This window comes from Homo sapiens, chromosome X, assembly GCF_000001405.40.
Source record: "Homo sapiens chromosome X, GRCh38.p14 Primary Assembly".
NCBI lineage: Eukaryota > Metazoa > Chordata > Mammalia > Primates > Hominidae > Homo > Homo sapiens.
The window spans coordinates 5,152,434-5,172,635 of record NC_000023.11 but is presented as its reverse complement, the minus strand read 5'-3'; the positions used below and the strand labels follow the sequence as shown (position 1 = coordinate 5,172,635).

At 36.5% G+C, this 20,202-nt stretch overlaps 2 pseudogenes, besides 1 other annotated feature; one reads left to right on the top strand and one right to left on the bottom strand.

Annotated features, from left to right (window-relative positions):
• On the bottom strand, nucleotides 1,991–3,124 carry MTCYBP12 (MT-CYB pseudogene 12; annotated as a pseudogene).
• MTND6P12 (MT-ND6 pseudogene 12) lies at nucleotides 3,197–3,718 on the top strand (annotated as a pseudogene).
• Nucleotides 16,865–17,515: an enhancer, noted in NCBI's record as "OCT4-NANOG hESC enhancer chrX:5073162-5073812 (GRCh37/hg19 assembly coordinates)". NCBI's record gives its function as "activates a minimal SCP1, AML or CMV promoter by ChIP-STARR-seq in naive H9 embryonic stem cells {active_cell/tissue: H9 hESC(naive)}" and the evidence as "EXISTENCE:reporter gene assay evidence [ECO:0000049][PMID:30033119]".

Below are 20,202 nucleotides of genomic sequence, written 5' to 3'. Positions count from 1 at the left end.
GATAGATATAGACATAAATATACAGATATAGATTTACAGATGTATATATATATACACAGATATAGATAGATATAGACAGAGAGAGATAGAAAGATATGTGTACAAATGTGTGTGTGTATGTCAAGTGACTATTTTATTACTTTGTGGTATGATTGTATCTGCCTTATTCAACAATTCTTTTTTTATTTGTTTGTTTTTGTTTTTGCTTTAGGTTTTGTTTTTGAGATGGAGTTTCGTTCTGTTGCCCAGGCTGGAGTGCAGTGGCGTGATCTCGGCTCACTGCAACCTCCGCATCCCAGGTTCAAGCTATTCTCCTGCCTCAGCCTGCCGAGTAGCTGAGATTACAGGCACCTGCCACTATGCCCGGCTAATATTTTCTATTTTTAGTAGAGACGGGGTTTCACCATGTTGGCCAGGCTGGTCTCGAACTCCTGACCTTGTGATTCACCTGTCTCAGCCTCCCAAAGCGCTGGGATTACAGGCGTGACCCACTGCACCCAACAATTCTTAGTGGCAAATACATTATAGCTTAATTTGATCCTTTATCCAGCGTAGATGGATTGCAAGAAAGTTCTCTCTCAAGAACACTTGCCCCATTAGGAGAAATTATATTAATTATTTATCATCAGTGGAGAAATTGTGTGTCACCTTTTGTTTTGTATTTTGTGGCAACATTTCTCAGCATATTTTATGATCTATCCATGGTTTAGCCTGATGTGTGGAATTAGGACTATAGCAGGTGGTTACTGATTATGGGGTAGAGATACATGTAAATTAATAAATGCAATACATAGTAATAACTATTATGATCATGTTGAAGCAGACATGAAGCTCACTGAAGGTGTAAAATTTTTAAAAAAGTGATAGGCCAGGTGCAGTGGCTCAAACCTATAATCTCAGCAGTTTGGGAGGCTGAGGCAGGAAGGTTTCTTGAGCTCAGGAGTTTGAGACCAGACTGGGCTACTTGGTCTCTACTCTGTTTCTACTAAATATTAAAAAATTTAGCCAGGCATGGTGGTGTGTACCTGTAGTTCCAGCTACTAGTGAGGCTGAGGCAGGAGGATTGCTTGAGCCCAGGAGATCGAGGTTGCAGTAAGCTATGATTGCACCACCGCACTCCAGCCTGGGCAACAGAACAAGACCTGGTGAATGGGTCAAGAGATACTCAGAGTGGAAAAGCTGACGAGGGTAGATTCGACTGAAATGTGCTATGTCCAATGAATGAATGAATGTACTAAGTAATATTAAGGAATTTTAGTACTGGTTAATATTTGTGTGGGATTGGTTTACATGTAAATGTAGTATTGACTTACTACAGTTGATTGAGAAATTACTAATACTTGCTTATATGCATGTACTGTAGGCTGTTTAGTACTGTATGGTTCATATATGCACTATGTACAATCAAGCATTGATAGTACTATATATTATTCATGGTGAATAGCAACAATGCACGGAGTACATAAAAGTATTAATGTGTCAGTATTAATGGTCAATACTTATATAGTACTTAAAATTCATGACGAATAGAATACAGAGAGTAGTTTAATTAGAATCTCAGCTTTGGCCGGGTGTGATGGCTCACGCCTGTAATCCCAGCAGTTTGGGAGGCCAAGGCGGGTGGTTTAGGAGGTCAGGAGATCGAGACCATCCTGGCTAACACGGTGAAACCCCGTCTCTACTAAAAGTACAAAAAATTAGCTGGGCCTAGTGGCAGGCGCCTGTAGTCCCAGCTACTCGGGAGGCTGAGGCAGGAGAATAGTGTGAACCCGGGAGGCAGAGCTTGCAGTGAGCGGAGATCGCACCACTGCACTCCAACCTGGGCAATGGAGCAAGACTCCATCTCAAAAAAAAAAAAAAAAAAGAATCTCAGCTTTGGGTGTTGATGGTGAAGCTGGAGTGCTTTTTCTCTGAGTTGCCCTGGGGAGAGGGTTCTTCATTTCTGGTTTACAAGACCAGTGTATTGGGTTGTACTACAAGGGCAGTTTCATTTAAGTAGTTTATTTTCGATTAGGGAAATGAGTGGTATTAGGGCAAGAATAATAGAGAAGTATATTATGGATGCTATCTGTCCAGTGATAATGAAGGCCAACTGGCTGTCCTCCAATTCATGTGAGGGCCAATAGGTTGGTGACTAAGAATCAGAACATATATTGACTTAGTGGGTGGAATATTATGCTTTGTTGTTTGGATGTGTGAAGTGCAGGAATGACTGCCAGAATAAGAATAGATAATAGAAAGGCTAATACACCTCCTAGTTTATTGGGGATAGATAGTAAGATTCCATATGCAAATAAAAAGTATTACTCTGATTTAATTTGGGGTGGGGTGTTTAGGGGGTTGGCTAAGGTGTAATTATCTGGGTCACTCAAGAAATCAGGTGAAAATAGTACTAGCATTGTTAAAAGAAGGAAGAGGAAGATTACACCTAGGATATCTTTGATTGTATAGTAAGGGTGGAAGGTAATTTTATCGAAGTGTGGTGAAATTCCTGAGGGGTTATTAGACCCTGCTTCATGGAGGAATAGTAGGTGAAGCGTTGCTAGGGCTACAATGATAAAAGGTGAGATGAAATGAATGGTGAAGAATCGTGTGAGAGTGGCTTTGTCAACTGAAAATCCGCGTCAGATTCATTGAAAAAGGTCAGCCCCGATCTTGTCCATGGGATGGCTGATAGTAGATTTGTAATCACTGTAGCGCCTCAGAATGATATTTGGCCTCATGGAAGTACATAGCCTATAAATGCTGTTGCTATGGTTGTGAGCAGGACAATAATGTCAATGTTTCAGTTTTCTAAGTATATGAATGAGCCATAATATAAGCCTCGGCTAAAGTGTAGGAAGAGACAGATGAAGAATGTTGAAGCGTCATTAGTGTGGAGATAGTGGATAATTCAGCCATAGTTCACATCTCGATTAATATGGGCCATTGAAGAGAAGGCAGTTGTGGTGTCTGGTGTGTAGTGTATGGCTAGGAATAGCCCTGTGATGATTTGAAGGAATAAGCAGGTGCCAAGAAGTGAGCAGAGGTTTCATCATATAGAGATATTAGATGGAGTGGGGAGATCGATGAGTGAGTAATTAATAATTTTTATTAGTGGATTTGTTTTCCTTATTATAGTCATTAGTGTTCTTGTGTTTGAAGTACAACGATAGTTTTTCCATCATTAGTCATGGTTATAACCCATGTGGGAATAATGACATATGCTTTATTCTTGTTAAGTAGTCTTTTGGTTATGAGATTTGTAGGTTTTTCTTCTAAACCTTCTTCTATTTATGGGTGGTTAGGGTTAATTATTAGTGGTCCTGCAGGTTGCATTATTGTGTTCAATTATGGTAGGGCTTTTATAGGCCTAATAGTCTTTTTGATTTATTTGGGAGAGATGATGGTTGTTTTTTGTCATACTATGGCGATTGCTATTGAGGAGTACCCAGAGGCGTGAGGATCAGGTATTGAGGTTTTAGGGAGTTTCTTATTGGGTTTAGTAATAGAGTTGATGCTAATTTGGTGAACAGCTGAGTATGATGGATTGCTGGTCATAGTTAATTTTAATAACATGGGAAGTTGAGTGATTTTTGATGGTGAGGGGTCAGGGTTGATTCGTGAGGATTCTATAGGTGCGGGTGCTTTATATGATTATGGATGTTGACTAGTGGTAGTTGCTGGTTGAACATTATTTGTTGGTGTTTATGTTGTGATTGAAATTACTCGGGGTAATAGATTATATAATTAAAAGTAGAGTTTAAAAGGATGGAATGAAGAAAGAGAGGAAGTAAAATTTAATTAGGCCTTTTTGAGTAGTTATAGTAGAGGAGGCTGTGACTCCATTAAGTCACATTGGACTCCATTAAGTCCATTAAACAATAGAGAATAAATTCTTTTGGGGTACTGAAGACAAGAAGAAGTCTTCTACAGGAAGCATTTGAAGGCACTGAGGCACATCTATTGTGCTGTGTCCAGGCACATTTTTTGCAGCATCTATAATGTATCTGAAAGCAGAAAGATCTCAATACTGGAGTGTTCTGGATAAAAACGTCTAAAACTTACCATTTCCACAACCAGCATCCAAATGGTATTTTGGGGCTTTTATTTGTTTGTTTGCTTTCTTTCTATTTTCTTTTGAAAGTGAGCAGCTTAAAAGATACTAGTGTGAAGCGAAGCTTGGTGGCTCAAATCTGTAATCCCAGCGCTTTGAGAGGGAAAGGGAGGAGGAACGCTTGAGGCCAGGAATCTGAAATCAGCCTGGGCAACATAGTGACACTCTGTTTCTACAAAACATTTTAAAAATTAACCAGGTGTGGTGGTGAGCACCTGTGGTCCCAACTACTCAGGAGGCTGAGGCACAAGGATGGCTTGGGCCAGGAAGTTCGAGGCTACAGTGAGCTGAGATTATACGACTGCACTCCAGCCTGGACAACAGAGCAAAGCCCTATCTCAAAAACAAACAAACAAACAAACAAACAAACAAACAAACCATACTAGCTGAGTAAGGCCACAAGAATCGGATCAGGATCAATGATAGAAATTGAAAAGGTTGTCCACAAAAGCCACTATGGAGGCAATAGTGCAATGCAGAGATAAGGAATGTCTACAGTCAGAGTGAGTATGGAGTCATGACTGCTTATGAGAGTATTTTGAGATGGGTAGACAAGAAAGGGAGCATCAGCCATCCATCATTACTGGAATCCCACCAAGGAAATTCTTCAGCCCAAACCACAGCTGCCTTAAGACTCAGATAGGCAAGGAAAGTGAAGCGGCTGCATCCTCTGAAAGGCAGAGACATAACTCCGACGCAGCCATGTGTGGTCCATGTTCTCATTCGTATCACAGAATCAATACTTGACATTAATTTTGTTTTTCCATTAAGAAAGATTTTATGTTTTTTACTTTGCTTTCTAGTACTTCATTCAATCAGGAATACAGCACAATGTGGACCACCGACTAGATGGGCATTAGAGCAGTGGTCCTCAAGTGGGGCCTATTGTGCCCCCCGCCCCCTACCAGGAGACATTTGACAATGTCTGAAAACATTTTTTGTTGTCAATAAAAAAGATGGGGTAGGTCCTACTGGCATCTTGTTGGTTGAGGCCACGGATGCTGCTAAACATCTTACATTGCCCGGCACAGCCCCCACCACAAAGGCATATCCAATTCAATAAAAAGAATGAAACCATGTCGTTTGCAGCAAGAAGGATGCAGCCAGAAGCCATTATTCTAAGTGAATTAATGTGAAAATGGAAAATCAAATACCACGTGTTCTCACTAATAAGTGAGAGCTGAACATTGAGCACACATGAACACAAAGATGGGAAAAATAGACACTAGGGATTCCAAAAGCGGGGAGAGAAGGAGGGGAGCGTCATTTGAAACAAAACTAAACTAAACTAAACTAACAAAGAAAAACAAAAAAAACTACCTATTTGGTGCTATGTTCACTTTTTAGGTGACAGGATCAATAGAAGCCCAAACCTCAGCATCGTCAATAAACCCTTGCCGCAAACCTGCACATGTAATCCCTGAATCTAAAATTTAAAAATTCAATATTGGTTTCAAATGCCGATGATGATGAGGCAGAGAAACCCTGTTCTAGAAGTTTAACAGCTTTTCCGGTTGATGCCAAATCACCGATTGTATGGGTGGACTTATGGCATCCAAATGATTTGGAATCTGAGACACATTAAAGTAACCTTAGAACCCGGCAGCACAAGTGTGAGTGAGTCATGTGACCTTTGCAGGTTTCTAACTTTGTGCATCTGTTGCTTAGTGTCTCATAGAAGAATGGACTTCTGAACTAGGAATGACTGCATTTCTTAGGGGACACTCACTTTTCCTGCTCATTGCTCAGTGCTTTTCAGCAGGGTGGGTACATACCATTAAAAAAATAAAACAAAACCTACACCCACACTTATTTTAGAGACAAAGATCTCAAGGCAAATAACAAGACCTATCTAGGGCAAATGAGAGTCTGCCTCAGTCCAAGTTCTTTGTGTTTCTTTCTTAGCAACTGATAGAACAGATAATCCACTGGTCCATAATAGCTTCCCAATACGCTGGGAGTCAGTATCTAATTTCCGGTTATGCCCCAAGATCAAAAGGGAATGGGAGCTGGGCATGGTGGTGCGTGCCTGTAGTCCCAGCTACTCGGGAGGCTGAGGCAGGAGAATCGTCTGAGCCCCAGGAGTTTGAGGGTGCAGTGAGCTGAGATCGCACCATTGCACCCCAGCCTGGGCAATAGGAGTAAAACTCTGTCTCAAAAAAAAAAAAAAAAAAAAAAAGGAGGGGGAGGGAATGGAAAATGCCAAAGAGTATGGGGCTTTGAAGACCTCACTGGAAACAACGTCTGAACAACCTGAATATGTTCAACTATCTTGTTGACCTCTGCCTCTGTTTATTTATTTATTTTTTTAATTTGGCTCCAAGTCTGGTTTTCTAAAATTTGTTTAAAGATGCATGTGTCAACATGTATATGTTTTACATACATGTATATAATGTACTTTATATGCTTATACAGAAAATGCTATGTAAACTCTTTAGAGACCAAGGGCAAACTTCTTTGTCTCTAAAGAGTTTCTGAAGGTTCATTGAAAGTCAACTGACAAAATGCAGATTAATCAGAGAAAATGCATGCAAATTTATTTAATGTGTATACACAGGGGCCTTTAGAATAAATACCCCAAGATACATAGGAAAATGTCCATTTTTAGAAATAAGATTGGACCAAAAAGGCCTGATCTAAAGCTAATGGACGGAGTGGGAAAACCCAGCCAGGCCTGTCTGTCTAGACTCTTTTTGTCCTCTCTGAACATTCTTTCTTCCTTCTGGGTGTGGGGTAGGACCCTCTCTGGAATGGAGGGTCTTACGACATACAGTCAAACAAGGTAGGTCCGGGAATTTCTTCATGGCCAGTTTCTACACAGAAAGTTAGGGTCATGTTTCTAGGTTTTCTGGCCGGCTTTGGGGAAATGGGGTTCTGATTTCTAGGACCCACCTTGAGGAAGAGGGATTCTAGTTTTTATGGCGCCTCGAGGGAAAATGCAACCAAGAGACAGGAGGGCAGAAGATGATCAGAGAGAGCTGCTTCTGTGGCCTGTATTTTGGGTCTTGTTTTCTAACCTCCAACAAGAATATACTTGCTATTGCATTTATCTATTACAAGAACTAGCAGAGCATTCATAAAAGGAGCAAATTTATTTCTGGAAAGCGTGGAAGTAGATTTTCTTACACTTTAAGCTTGCTATTTATCCTTCCAAGTTCATTGAAAGAACAAATCCTCTCTATCAATCATTGTTTACTCATGCCTTGACAAATATTAAGTATCAGGAAAGGACTCGAATCTAGATGAAGGATATTGGAATGGTGTCTCTAAAAGCAAAGGACCTTCATTTTTAACAACAACAGGCAAAACAAAACAAAATTAGCAGGTTCTAATAACCAACTTCTTAGCCTAATTTGCTCAGAAATTTCACTTCTTGTATCTTTCATTCATAACAGTCCAGGAAAGTGTTCAGATACCTCCCCCAGTTTGAAGATGTCATAAATGAATCTTGGAAATTTGCTAATTACTCTGAGGCTAAAATCTCAAGAGAAAACGAGATGTAAAATTCCCTTTCTTCCTCTAAAGTAGCCTCTTTGGAGTCACTAAGATAACACCATGTCCATATGCTCAAATGCTTTGTTTGAAGTTACTGAGCTAGACCATCAACTTCTGTGGCTGTTTCTCTTTCCTTAACATCTGTATGAGAATCTGTAATCTGTAATACACTTTTTATTGGCTTGACTTTTCATTGGAACCACTGTAGAAAGAAATGTCATTGCCTGCTCCCCTAATTTTTGAAAGTTAAAAGGAGGAAATCATTTCCCCCTGTCTCTATAGATGCTGTTAGGTAGATAGCAGTTGGAAAGAAGAAAGAAACAGAACTTTTAAGACATATTTTTCTACGTTCAGGTTTCCTTATTTATTTCTTGCCCAATATATTATAAGGCAAAGGATGTTTACTTCTTTCCTGTATGATGAAAAATTTCCAAATCACATGAATGCAAAAATGGACACTTTTGACATAAAAGATCCTTCTTTTTATTTTATGCTATTATTTTGGTGGGGGAGGTTAGGGTCTCACTCTGTCACCCAGGCTAGAGTGCAGTGGCACAATCATAGTTCATTGCAGCCTCCATCATGACTGGCTAATGTTTGTATTTTTCATAGAGAGAGGATCTTTTCTTGTAACCATGCTCATTGTTTTAACTTTTTGTCTGTGGCTGCTTTCATGCTACACTGGAAGAGTTTGTGGCCTGTTGGCCAATAAAGCCCTAAATATTGATTATTGGAAAACAACGGCAACAGTAACAACAAAATAAAACCCGTAGTAGTATGTAACTCAGTACCTCTTCTATACATTTTATTGAGAAGTATAGAACATGTTGAGGTTTGAAGTTACTGTATCTATTGCAAAGACAAAGAAGAAAATGCCTCTTTGCTCTCTGAAGGTTCATTGACAATCACTGACAAAAGGCAGATTAATAGCAGAAAAGACACACAAATTTATTATGGTGCACGGAACTCTTATGAAACAGAATATCTCAAAGAAATGGCCAGATGGTTATTGCTTTCATACCATCTTGAGTTTACAGAAAGAATGGGGGTTTGGGTCCTGGCAACACAGCTTATAAGAGGAGAGAAGAGGAGGCCTGGCCAGCAAAAGTGGTCTTGTTATGCAGATGAAACCTCCCAGATAGCAGCCCTTGGAGAGAATAGATGGTAAATGTCTCTTTCAGACCTTTAAAGATGTCAGTCTCTCAGTTCCTCTTTCTTAAATCCCAACAAGGGAGTCCATCAAAGAAAGCCGGCTGCCTAAATGCACACTTTCTCCACAGATGCAAATCTCCTCCACAAAAAACAGCTTTTCTGCTATTCTTGTGTTTCCAGCACTTCTGACTAGTCATCTTGACATATATCAATGAAGTGTATTTTGGAGTAAACTTTTTTTATTTCCTTTACTACCTTGGAAGCCAGCAGGTTTAATTAGATTCCACAAAAGACAGGCAACACTGTGATTACCATTTCATTCACATAATCAATATTATTTCGTAGCTTTCTGTGAAAGAAAAGAAATAAGTGAAAGCGTAGGTAAAAAGAAAAAAATGATCACTATGCTTTCTGAATGTTTATAATATTTTAAACGTTTTATTCATATTGAAATAACATAGATGACAGATTTTGCAAAAGCAGTATAGAGAGATTCTGTGAAACTGTAGCAGGACGAGCCGCAGACAAAACCTCTCAGACACCGAGTTGTAGAAGGAAGGGCTTTATTCAGCTGGAAGCATCGGCAAGCTACTGTCTTAAAATCCAAGCTCTCCGAGTGCACAATTTCTGTCCCTTTTAAGGGCTCACAACACTGAAGATTTCACATGAAAGGGTCGTGATTGATTTGAGCAAGCAGGCGGTACGTGACAGGGGCTGCATGCACCGGTGGTCAGAGAGAAACAGAACAGGGCAGGGAGTTTCACAATGTTCTTCTATACAATGTCTGGAATCTATGAATAACATCGGTCTCTGAGTTGATTTTTAACTACTAGGTTTAGATCAGGCAGGCCCAGGCCTGGTTTCGGGCCTGGCGCCGGACTGCCTGTCTTTGGTTTTACTTTTTTGTTGTTTCTTCTTAAAACAGGTACTGAGTATAAAACAATATAAAACAATATGAGAGGGTCTCTCTCTTGCTTCGAAGCCATTATACACTTTTGACTAATAATGATAGTTTACATAACAGTAGGACATTTCAGAGGAAAGCAAATTCTTATACACTGTTCTTGGGGATGTAAGCTAGTACAGCCAGTATGGAGAACAGTATGGAAGTTCCGCAAAAACTGCAAATGAACTACCCTATAATCCAGCAATCCCACTAGTGTGTATATACCCAAAGGAGGAAAAAAAAAAATCAATATATAAAAGGGGTAATTGCACCCCATGTTTATTGTAGCACTATACACAATAGTCAAGATACAAAATCAACCTAAGTGTCCATTGATGGTTGAATGGAAAAAGAATATGTGGTGTACATACACCATGGAATACTATTCAGCCATTAAAAAAGAAGAAAATTCTGTCATTTGTAGCAGCATGAATGAGCCTGGAGGACATTATGTTAAGTAAAATAAGCCAGGCGCAAAAAGATAAATGCCAATTTTGTCACTTATATGTGGACACTAAAGAAGATCTTATAGTAGTGGAGTGACATGATGGTTACTAGAGGAAGAGAAGACAGGGGAGATAGGGAGATATTTGTTAAAGGATACAAAATTGTGTTGTCTTTAGATTCAGAGTAAAACAAAACAGAACCTTCAGAATATCTCTTAAGTAATTGTGTAAGTATTCTTAAATCCAGTCTATTTCAGCACCATTTTGGAAAATTTTTATTTATTATTATATCTTATCCATGTAATCCAATATCATTGCATAGTAATTTTAATACTGCTGATAACAAGGCAGTATGTAATAAGTCAGTTTATCCAGTGAGTACTGAGTCTGAGACAATTTCAACCAAACTAATTTTTAAGCTCACTTTTGATGATTGAAACACTATCTTTTCTAAAGCATTACTATACACTGCCAAATTTGGGAATAGATGCACCAATACATCTTTGGGAGAGTTTTATAGATACATGCCATTTTTAAAGAATTTATCCTTTTTTTTTTTTTTTAACAAAGACGGAGTTTCCCTATGTTGCCCAGGCTGGCCTCAAACTCCTGGACTCAAGCTGTTCTCCCATCTCGGCCTCCCACAGTGCTGGGATTACAGGCGTGAGCCACCATGCATGGACTAATACATGACAGTCTTAAAGATATGAAGGATTCTGAGGTTGTAGTCCTCATATTCCCATTTATCTCATATTTCCTGCAGTGTAAAAATCAGGTAAATCTACAGGATGGCCATGCACTAGGCAAATTCAAACAAGAACTAGCCATAATTACAATTTTTGTACTAGATTTGATATTCTGTTTTTCTGAACACAGATGAACATAGGCTTAGTTACATGGTATGCAATCATTGCTTGGTGGAATGTATTATTTTCTATTTCTTATAGGATGAAGAATTAAAAAGAGTTTCCATCAGTTGGAAGAGAAATCAGTTGACATTCAGTCTCTCTTCCCGAATGCATTGTCTTCTCTTCTGCCTTATGTTATAGCAAGGGCCTGGGCTCCCTCCATATGCTACCATCATATTAACATGCTATGTCTATGGCATCATACTATTTAGACTAGAAGCTCAAGGAGTGACCATTGGCCAGGCATGGTGGCTCACACGTCTAATCTCAGCACTTTGGGAGGCTACGGCAAGAGGATCACTTGAATCCAGGAGTCTGAGACCAGCCTAGGCTACACAGCAAAGTCTCACCTCGACAGAAAATTAAAAATAAAACACTAGTCTTGTGTAGCGGCATGTATATACGGTCCCAAGCTACTCAGGAGACTGAAGTGAGAGAATTGCTTGAGCCCAAGAGGTCAAGGTTGCAGTGAGCTATGATTCTCACCACTGCATTCCAGCAGGGGTGATGTAGCAAGACCCTGTATAAATAGATAAATAAAAGAATCAAAAAGAAAATTGTGTCGTTCATACAATGGAAAACTAGGTAATCAGAAGATCTGACAAATTTATATGAGCAGACATGGAAAACTGCAAGTCATAATTTAGATATAATATGATCCCAATCATTTTTTTAGATAGAAATGTATTGCATATTGATACACAGGAGGGAATGATATGCAGAATGTCAGGATGGACACTGAAATGTTGACGATGACTCATTCTGAAGAGAGGAGTAGGACTGGGGAGGACAGGGAATAAATTCTGTAACACTGCAATCTTTTCCATGGGAATTTAATCATACAACTAATAAGAGTGCAGACTAAAAATATAAATGTACTAACGAATTCCAGATTCAATTTTTTAAAGATCCAACAATGTTTTTAGCAACCCCAGCAACACTAAATCAAACACATACTCTCTCAATGTGACTATTATGAAAAGAACGCTTTCACTGAAATGTATAGAATTTTTGTCACTTTTTTCCCTTAAGTAATTTTATTTTATTTATTTATTTTATTTTTTCACTTTTATTTTAGGTTTGGGGGTACATGTGAAGGTTTTTTATATAGGTAAAGATGTGTCACAGGGGTTTGGTATACAGATAATTTCAACACCTAGGTATGAAGCCCAGTACTGAATAGTGATCTTTTCTGCTCCTCTCCCTTCTCCCCTTTACCCCTTTGCAATTTTAATTTTAACCATATAGTTAGAGCCATAAATTTAAATTATTTAACGTTTTTTCTGAAAAGTGGAAAATGTCTACTTGTAGAGTTTTACATAGACAGATAAATAGTTAAGATTTTTTAGTCATATGGTTAGGATAAAACTTATTTTAAGCAAAAGACAGATGAGCTTAGCTAAGCCATCTGATCTCAAAGGGTAGGATGAGTCATGAAAGTAAGGAGTTTTTTTGTCAAAACCAAGTTGAAGTTCATTGTGGTAATGCACACATCTTCTACAAGGTCTGGGAATCAGAAGTAGTGGGTATAGAGAATAAAACACATCACGCCATCACCAGAAAACTGCTGAAATGTAATGCATATAATCTGAACACGACTCATCTTCAGGCCACATGGCATGGAGTCATAATTTCGTTATGAATTTAAGCAATTTTGCACAAAAAGAATGTGGACAGAGCTCAGTAACCCAACATCTTAGAAGTTAAGCAAAACATCTCCCTGTCTACAGATCCAGCTTTGCAAGAAGGTCTTATAAACCACCAGGTAACATTGTCTTCCAGCATACTTTAATATCTTTGGGTTTATTTAGTTTGGGACCCAGTAATTTATCTTAAAGAAAGCATTTTACTTAACTTGGCCGGTAAATTATCTTAAAGAACACTACTTACCCTCCAGAAGAGACAACAATGGTTGTTTGATGAAAAATGTCTGTGTCAGATGAATATACCCAAAGCATTGACACAAGAACCTTTGCTTTGAGAACATGCCACTGTTTGGAGATTATTTTCTCTGCTTGGATTCTGTACTTTCCAAAAGTTTTTAGCTCATTGAGTTACCTTTTATTTTGATTCTATGACTTGTCACTTGCTTTCTTTATTTCATATAGGGTCAACAAGGATTGAATGATCTGAATGCTTTCTCTCCATTTCTCTCTCTTTGCTTTTGAGTTTAGTAGATTTTTAGTATACCTTTCTATATTTTTGTCCTGTATCATCTTTCATTGTAAAACATTTAAAATTAAATACAAATAATGCATAAAATCTTGAAATCATGTTCAATATCACCTGCATAATTTGTGTAATACCTATAAGGAGACATATTCTAATCATTCCAACATACAGACTCAATCTACTCCTATCCTTTCTGGATCCTCTTACACATATGTGTCTTCCTTATATTTTGTATTAAAGTTGTAACACCACAAATTTTTGGACATAATCTCTGATAGCATCTTCACTGGAAATAAAACTCACTTAATAATGCTTAATGATAGTCTGAAGATAGAACTCAGCTTTCCCTTTCATGTTTGTCCAGATGAATGAAAACTCCTTCAACAGCTCTTTCATTTTTTCCTTCAGTTCCCTCTTCTTCTGTTGTATTTTATTCGGCACCAAATTCTTCTTTGATGTAGTAATCACTTGAATATTTCTCTTTTACATTTTCTTCAGAATGCTTTACGGACAAATAATTTAGATGTCATGAAATGCACAGATCTTAACTGCATATATCAATTGATATTACCGTATTTATGCAATATATTGCACAACCCATAAGAATATAGAACATATTATCACCCCACAAATTCCTTCATGCTCCTCTCCTGAAGAAGCCATTGATTACATTTCTATAGCACTTCCCACCCTACAGCTTAAAAGCAGAATCAACAGTATGTACTCCTTGCCTATTTCATTCTTCTTAATATATTTTAGATTTTGTCACATTGCTGTATTTATTATTAATTATTTTCTTTCTATGACTGTGTCATAATTTTCTCATTCATTCACTTATTCATAGATAACAAGCATATTTGTAGTTTTGGACTATTATGAACAAAACTGCTATGAAGATTCTTGTAGAAGGCCTTTTGAAGACATGTCTTTTGGTTTTTCTTGGATAAAAGCATGGCAGTTGGATTGTTGGATCATGGAAGTTGTATATATGTTTAACGTTTTAAGAAACAGGCTGACAGTTTTCTAAAGTATTTGTACTATTTTAAACAGATCCTTGCCAATATCTTTATATTTTAGCTATTCTAATGTGTCTTGATGTTATCTCATTTTAGTTCTATAGTGGATGTCCATGATCCCAACAATATTGGGTTCATTTTAATGTGCCTATAATTCACTTGTTTATCTCCTTTTCAGAATACACTGATGCATCACTTAACAACGAGAATGCCTTCTCAGAAATGCATCATTAGGCAATTCTGTCATTGGACGAACATCATAGAGTGCACTTACACAAACCTAGGTAGTATAGCCTACTATACACCTAGTGTATAGGGTCTAGCTTAGTGCTCCTGGGCTACAAACCTTTACAGAAGGTTACTGTATTGAATACTATAGGCAATTGTAATACAATAAGTATTTACACACCTAAACATAGAAAAAGTACAGTAAAAACATAGTGTTAGAATCTTATGAGACCCTCCCCCCCCACCACTCCATCACCTATGTGGTCTATCATTGACCAAAACGTTTTTATAGGGCATATGATTGTACTTAATTTTGCAAAAGTGTAATTGTCCATTTTTACCTTTTATGGCTAGCGCTTTCAATATTCTCCCTACAAAATGTTTGCCTACCCAAGGGCATGAAGGACTTTGCCTACCCATTCTCCTATTTTACTTTCTTGAGAAAGGCCATTGTTTAACTTTCATGATTAAGTCTATAATTCATTTTGAATTGATTTCTGTGCATAATCTGAGTTGGCAGTTGAAGTTTCTTTTTAACCATAAGGATATTCAAACATTTCATCAACATGTGTCGAAGATGTTTTTCTTTCCCATGGAATTCCTTGATCAACTGTGTTAAAAAGAGAGTTTAACTATGTGTGAGTCAATTTCTGGACTGTCTCTTTTCTTCCTTCAATCTATATTCTCTTCTCTGGCCACTATCAAACTTTTTTTGGTATCAGTAGATTCAGGCAATGTCTTGAAGTCATAGTGCATGATGTTCTACTTTTATTCTTTTTTATCTATTGCAACATTTTGCATTTTAATAAATTATAGAATAGACCTTTTAATTCTTGCACAATATTTGTCTAAGATATAGATTGAGAGGACAATGAATCTATGAACCCAAATGGGAATAATTAATACCTTAGCAGTCTGCATCTTCCAGTTCATGAGTACAGTCTATCACTTCATTTATTCAGACATTCCTTAGTTTCTCATCTCTCAAAAATATTTGTGTGTGTGTGTGTGTGTGTGTGTGTTGACTAAGAGTCAAACTCCGTAAAATATTTGAAGAGATTTATTCTTAGCCAAATATGAGTGACCATGGCCTGTGACACAGCCCTCAGGAGGTCCTGAGAACATGTGTCCAAGGTGGTCGGGGTACAGCTTGGTTTTATATATTTTACGAAGGCATGAAACATCAATTAAATACATTTAAGAAATACATTGGTTTGGTTCACAAAGGTGGGACAACTCAAAGGGGAGGCTTCCAGGCTATAGGTAAATTTAAACATTTTCTGGTTGACAATTGGTTGAGTTTATTTGAAGACCTGGGATCAATAGAAAGGAAATGTTCAGGTCAAGATAAAAGATTGTGGAGACCAAGTTTTATTGTGCAGAGGAAGCTCTCGGATTGCAGACTTCAGAGAGAGCAGGTTGTAAAATGTTTCTTATGGGACTTAAAAGGATGCCTGGCTTTTAGTTGATTATCTCCTGGATCTGGAAAAAAAGGAAAGAAAACAAAGGGGAAAGGGGCTTCTCTATAGGATGTGGGTTTTTGCCACAAGAGACTTTGCCGGGGAATTTCAAGGTATGGCAAGGAAATACATTTTGGGGTTAAACATTCTTTCCTTGTCTCATAATGTTATGCCAGAGTCAGGTTGAAAAGTAAGTCACAATATATAGGATCAAATAAAACCCATCTGATGAGAATTTATGGTTTATAGGGCATGACTCCCTAGACCCCTTAGATAGGAATTAGGGCAAGATAAAAAAAAATCAGAGTTAAGTCCTCATATATAAAATTTTAAGCCATGAATATCACATTTTTTGGTCACACATTTTGCAAAATAATCCTTATACCATATTGAATGACTTTTTTAAATGTTGAATTGTTTCCTACTAGAAAATAAAAATAGATTTAATTTCTGAACATTGAATCTGTATCCTGAAACCTTGCTAAACATATTTATTAGTTTAGAATTTGTTTTTGTAGAAGTCTTGGGATTTTTCCTGTAACAATCTGTAAATAAAGAAAAAAATAACTTTTTTCTCATTCTATGTACTTTTTTTTCCTTTTTCTTTGCATAATGTACTGTCTCAAGCCTCCAGCACAATGATTTGTAGAAGTGGTGAAAATTAACATTTTTGCATTCTTCTCAATCTTGTGTACATTTTTACTATACCTTTTAAAGTATATTTTTTAATTATATTAAAGAATGACATTTTAATTTAATAAAAGTATGTCTCTCTTGTTATTCCCATTCTTTTCACAGATTCTATACACCTTTTAATGTAAAGACTGCAACACAATTATAAGATATATTTTATGTCTTTGTTTCATGAGTCAAACATGTATCTTTCCTTTAGGCCAGGTGATATTAACTTTTCCTGTTCTTTACAGATTTAGTTATTTTCTATAGCATGTGTTTCCTTCTGAAAGGCAAGGTCTAGAGACTCTTGAATTTGCTGTCTTCCGTTGAAGGGTTGAGGTCTTTCAGGAAATTACACTACTATCACCTTCCATTGATTCTGCAGAGAGTTGGTTAAATTCTTTTTAAAAAATGAGTTTCTCTTTATTTTCACTTGGCCCTTATTCCTAGAACACAGTCTTTTTGCTTTGCATGCAACCCTTGCAGGGTTTTAGCAAAATCCCGGGATTTTGACCCAGCTATTTTAACTGAGCTGAATTTGACCTTCAACCCGTGTCTCCCCAGCAACAAGAAGCTGAGAAAACCTCTCCTCAGCTCTTTTAGCCTAAATTGATTGCTCTCTGTGGGGATCCTTTGAGTCTCACACTGAATATTTGAAATTAGTTGTTAGGCAAGGATTTGAAGGAAATTCCTATAGATTTAGGGACTCATCACACTGTGATGTCTACCGTTGCATATAGCCAACTTTGCTTTACAAATTCATGGGCACTATTGAATGTAAATCTGACTCCCCAAACCTGTCAAACAGCTATTTCTTCACATGTTCTTTCCGTGTACTTTGCAAATTAAGTGCCCTCATAGGACTCTCTGTTATATATGAGTGTCATCTGCTGTTTTTGCTCTTTACACAAGGGTGTTGACACCTCAAATTTATACTTGACTTTCATTGCATTCTAGTGACCTTCAGAAATGAATAAATATATCTCTGTATAATTTTTATATAAACTATATATACTTATGTTAAACTGTATATATAAAAACTATAAGTAAAACTATATGTAGTTTATGTATATTAGTTTTATGTAACTATACCACTATATATAGTTATATAACTATAACCATATGTTGTATTATATTATATATTTATATAGTTATATATTATTTTTATAAAGAAGTTTATGTAAAAATAAGTTTATACAAGTTTAATAAGTTGACTTTAATAAATTCAATTCTATAAGTGTAATAAGTTAATAATATATAAACTTATTTATATATATATAAACACATATAAATATATATAGTTCTATAGTCTATATATTATATAAAATAATTTTATTTATAATCGCGCCAGTGCACTCCAGCCTGGGCAACAATAGTGAAACTTGGTCTCAAAAAAAAAAGTTTATTTACATATAAACATATATATAAATAAACTTATTTCTATATATAGACTATATAAACTTATTTACTTACATATAATGTATTACATATAATATTAGATATATTACATATAGTTATATAAAACTATGTATGGTTATTATGTTTGTGTATCTTTGTGTGTGTGTGCGTTTGTGTGTATGTATAGTTTTGCTTCGTGTTGCCAGGAAAAACACAGTCCAATACAAATCCTTCTGCCAACACCTTCAGCGGAATTTCTTGTCATATTTTTAGTCTTATAAAATGTTATACCTTTAAGGTAATTCTACTAAATTTGAGGGAGGAACAAGAATAAGATAAGGAAATGCATAAAATTAATTGTCTTTCATGAAAAGTTACTTTTAAAAAATTAATTGGGAATGGATTAAATATTATTTAATTAGACTCTGTCCGTAGCCTGCAAATTGGATACCAAAGTTCTCAGCATTTTAAATATTTCATGGATCATAATTTGCATTTTAATTTCCCCTTTATTAATTTATAATAACTTAAGGTAAATACAAATGTAAGATATATATACCTATGCAAGCACCACCAGAGGAAGGTACAGTTTCTATATCTCCAAATATTTGCCTATTTCCCATTATAGTCACTATTCCTGTCATCCAGCAGCAGCCAAACATTGGTCTAATTTTGTCCCTTTAGATTAGATTTATTTCTTAGAATTTTAGATGAATGGATCATGTATCATATAGCCTATCGTGTCTGGCTTACTTCATTCAGCATAACGTTTCAGAGACATGAATGTAATTTTGAAGTTCAGTAGTTGTTTTACTTTTTTAATTTAAAATACTATTTTATGGCAGTTTTAGGTTCACAGAAGAGTTGGGGAGAAAGTACACGCAACTACCGCATACACCCTCTCCCTCTGAAGACAATTTCCCCGTTACTAACATCCTATATTAGTGTCGTGCATTAGACAGAATTAATGAACCTTCGTTGATACACTATTGTAAACTAAAGTACTAAGTTTACAGTAGGGGTTACATTTGGTGTTGTACAGTTTTTTGGGGTGTTGAAAAATGTTTAGTGTCATTTACCATACAGTGTCAGATAGAATAGTTTCACTGCCCTAAAATTTCTCTTTAAGCTACACCTTTTTATTCCTCTTCTCTCCCCTCCAAACTCCTGATAGCCACTGATCTGTTTACTGTCTCTGTAGTTTTGCCTTTTTTGAGATGTCATATATTTGGAATCATGTGGTATGTGGACGTTCATACTCTCTTTCTTACAAATATGCATTTACGGTTCCTTCATGTTTTTTCATAGCTTGATAGCTCATTTGTCTCTATTCCTGAATAGTATTCCATCCTCTGATGCATCACTGTTTGCTGATTCATTGACCCAATTAAGGACATCTTGTTTGTTTCCAAGTTTGATCAATTATGAATGAAGCTGCTATAAACATCCAAGTGCAGATTTTTTGTGTGGATGCAAGTTTTCAACTCATTTAGGTAAACATCAAGGTGCACAGTTGCTGGATCCTATGGTAAGATTAAACTTAATGTAATTATTGATACTGTTGGATTAATATGTTTAGTTCTGTAAGAAACCATCGAATTGCCTTCCAAAGTGGCTGTACCATTTTGCATTCCCATCAGCAATGAATGAGAATTACTGTTGTTCCACGTCCTTGTCATCCTTTAGTGTTTTCAGTATTTGATTTTAGCCACTCTAAAAAAGTGTCTAGTGGTCTCTCATTGTTTTAATTTTTAATTCTTTAAAGGCATATGATGTTGAGCCTCTTTTTATATGTTTATCAAACCTGTGCATATCTTTTTTGGTGAGATATCTCTTCAGATCTTTGGCTGACTTTTTGTTGGGTTGTTTTTTTCATTTCTTATCCTTGAAATTTAAGTGTTTTTTGTAAATTTTGGATACAAGTCTTAATCAGATATGTGTTTCAAAAATGATTTCTCCCTGTCTATGACTTGTTTTGTCATTCTATTAACAGTATATTTTGCACAGCATAAGTTTTCAATTTTAATGAAGTTCAATGTATCACTTTTTTAATAGAAGATAAAAAAGTGAATATGAAATATGAAAAAAAGTGATAAATTGAACTTGTGATACAAATAATATTCAGGAATAGAAAGAAATGAGCTATGTATTGTACCTCAAAGGTCATTGCCAAATCTAAGGTTATCTATATTTTCTCTTGAATCTTGGTG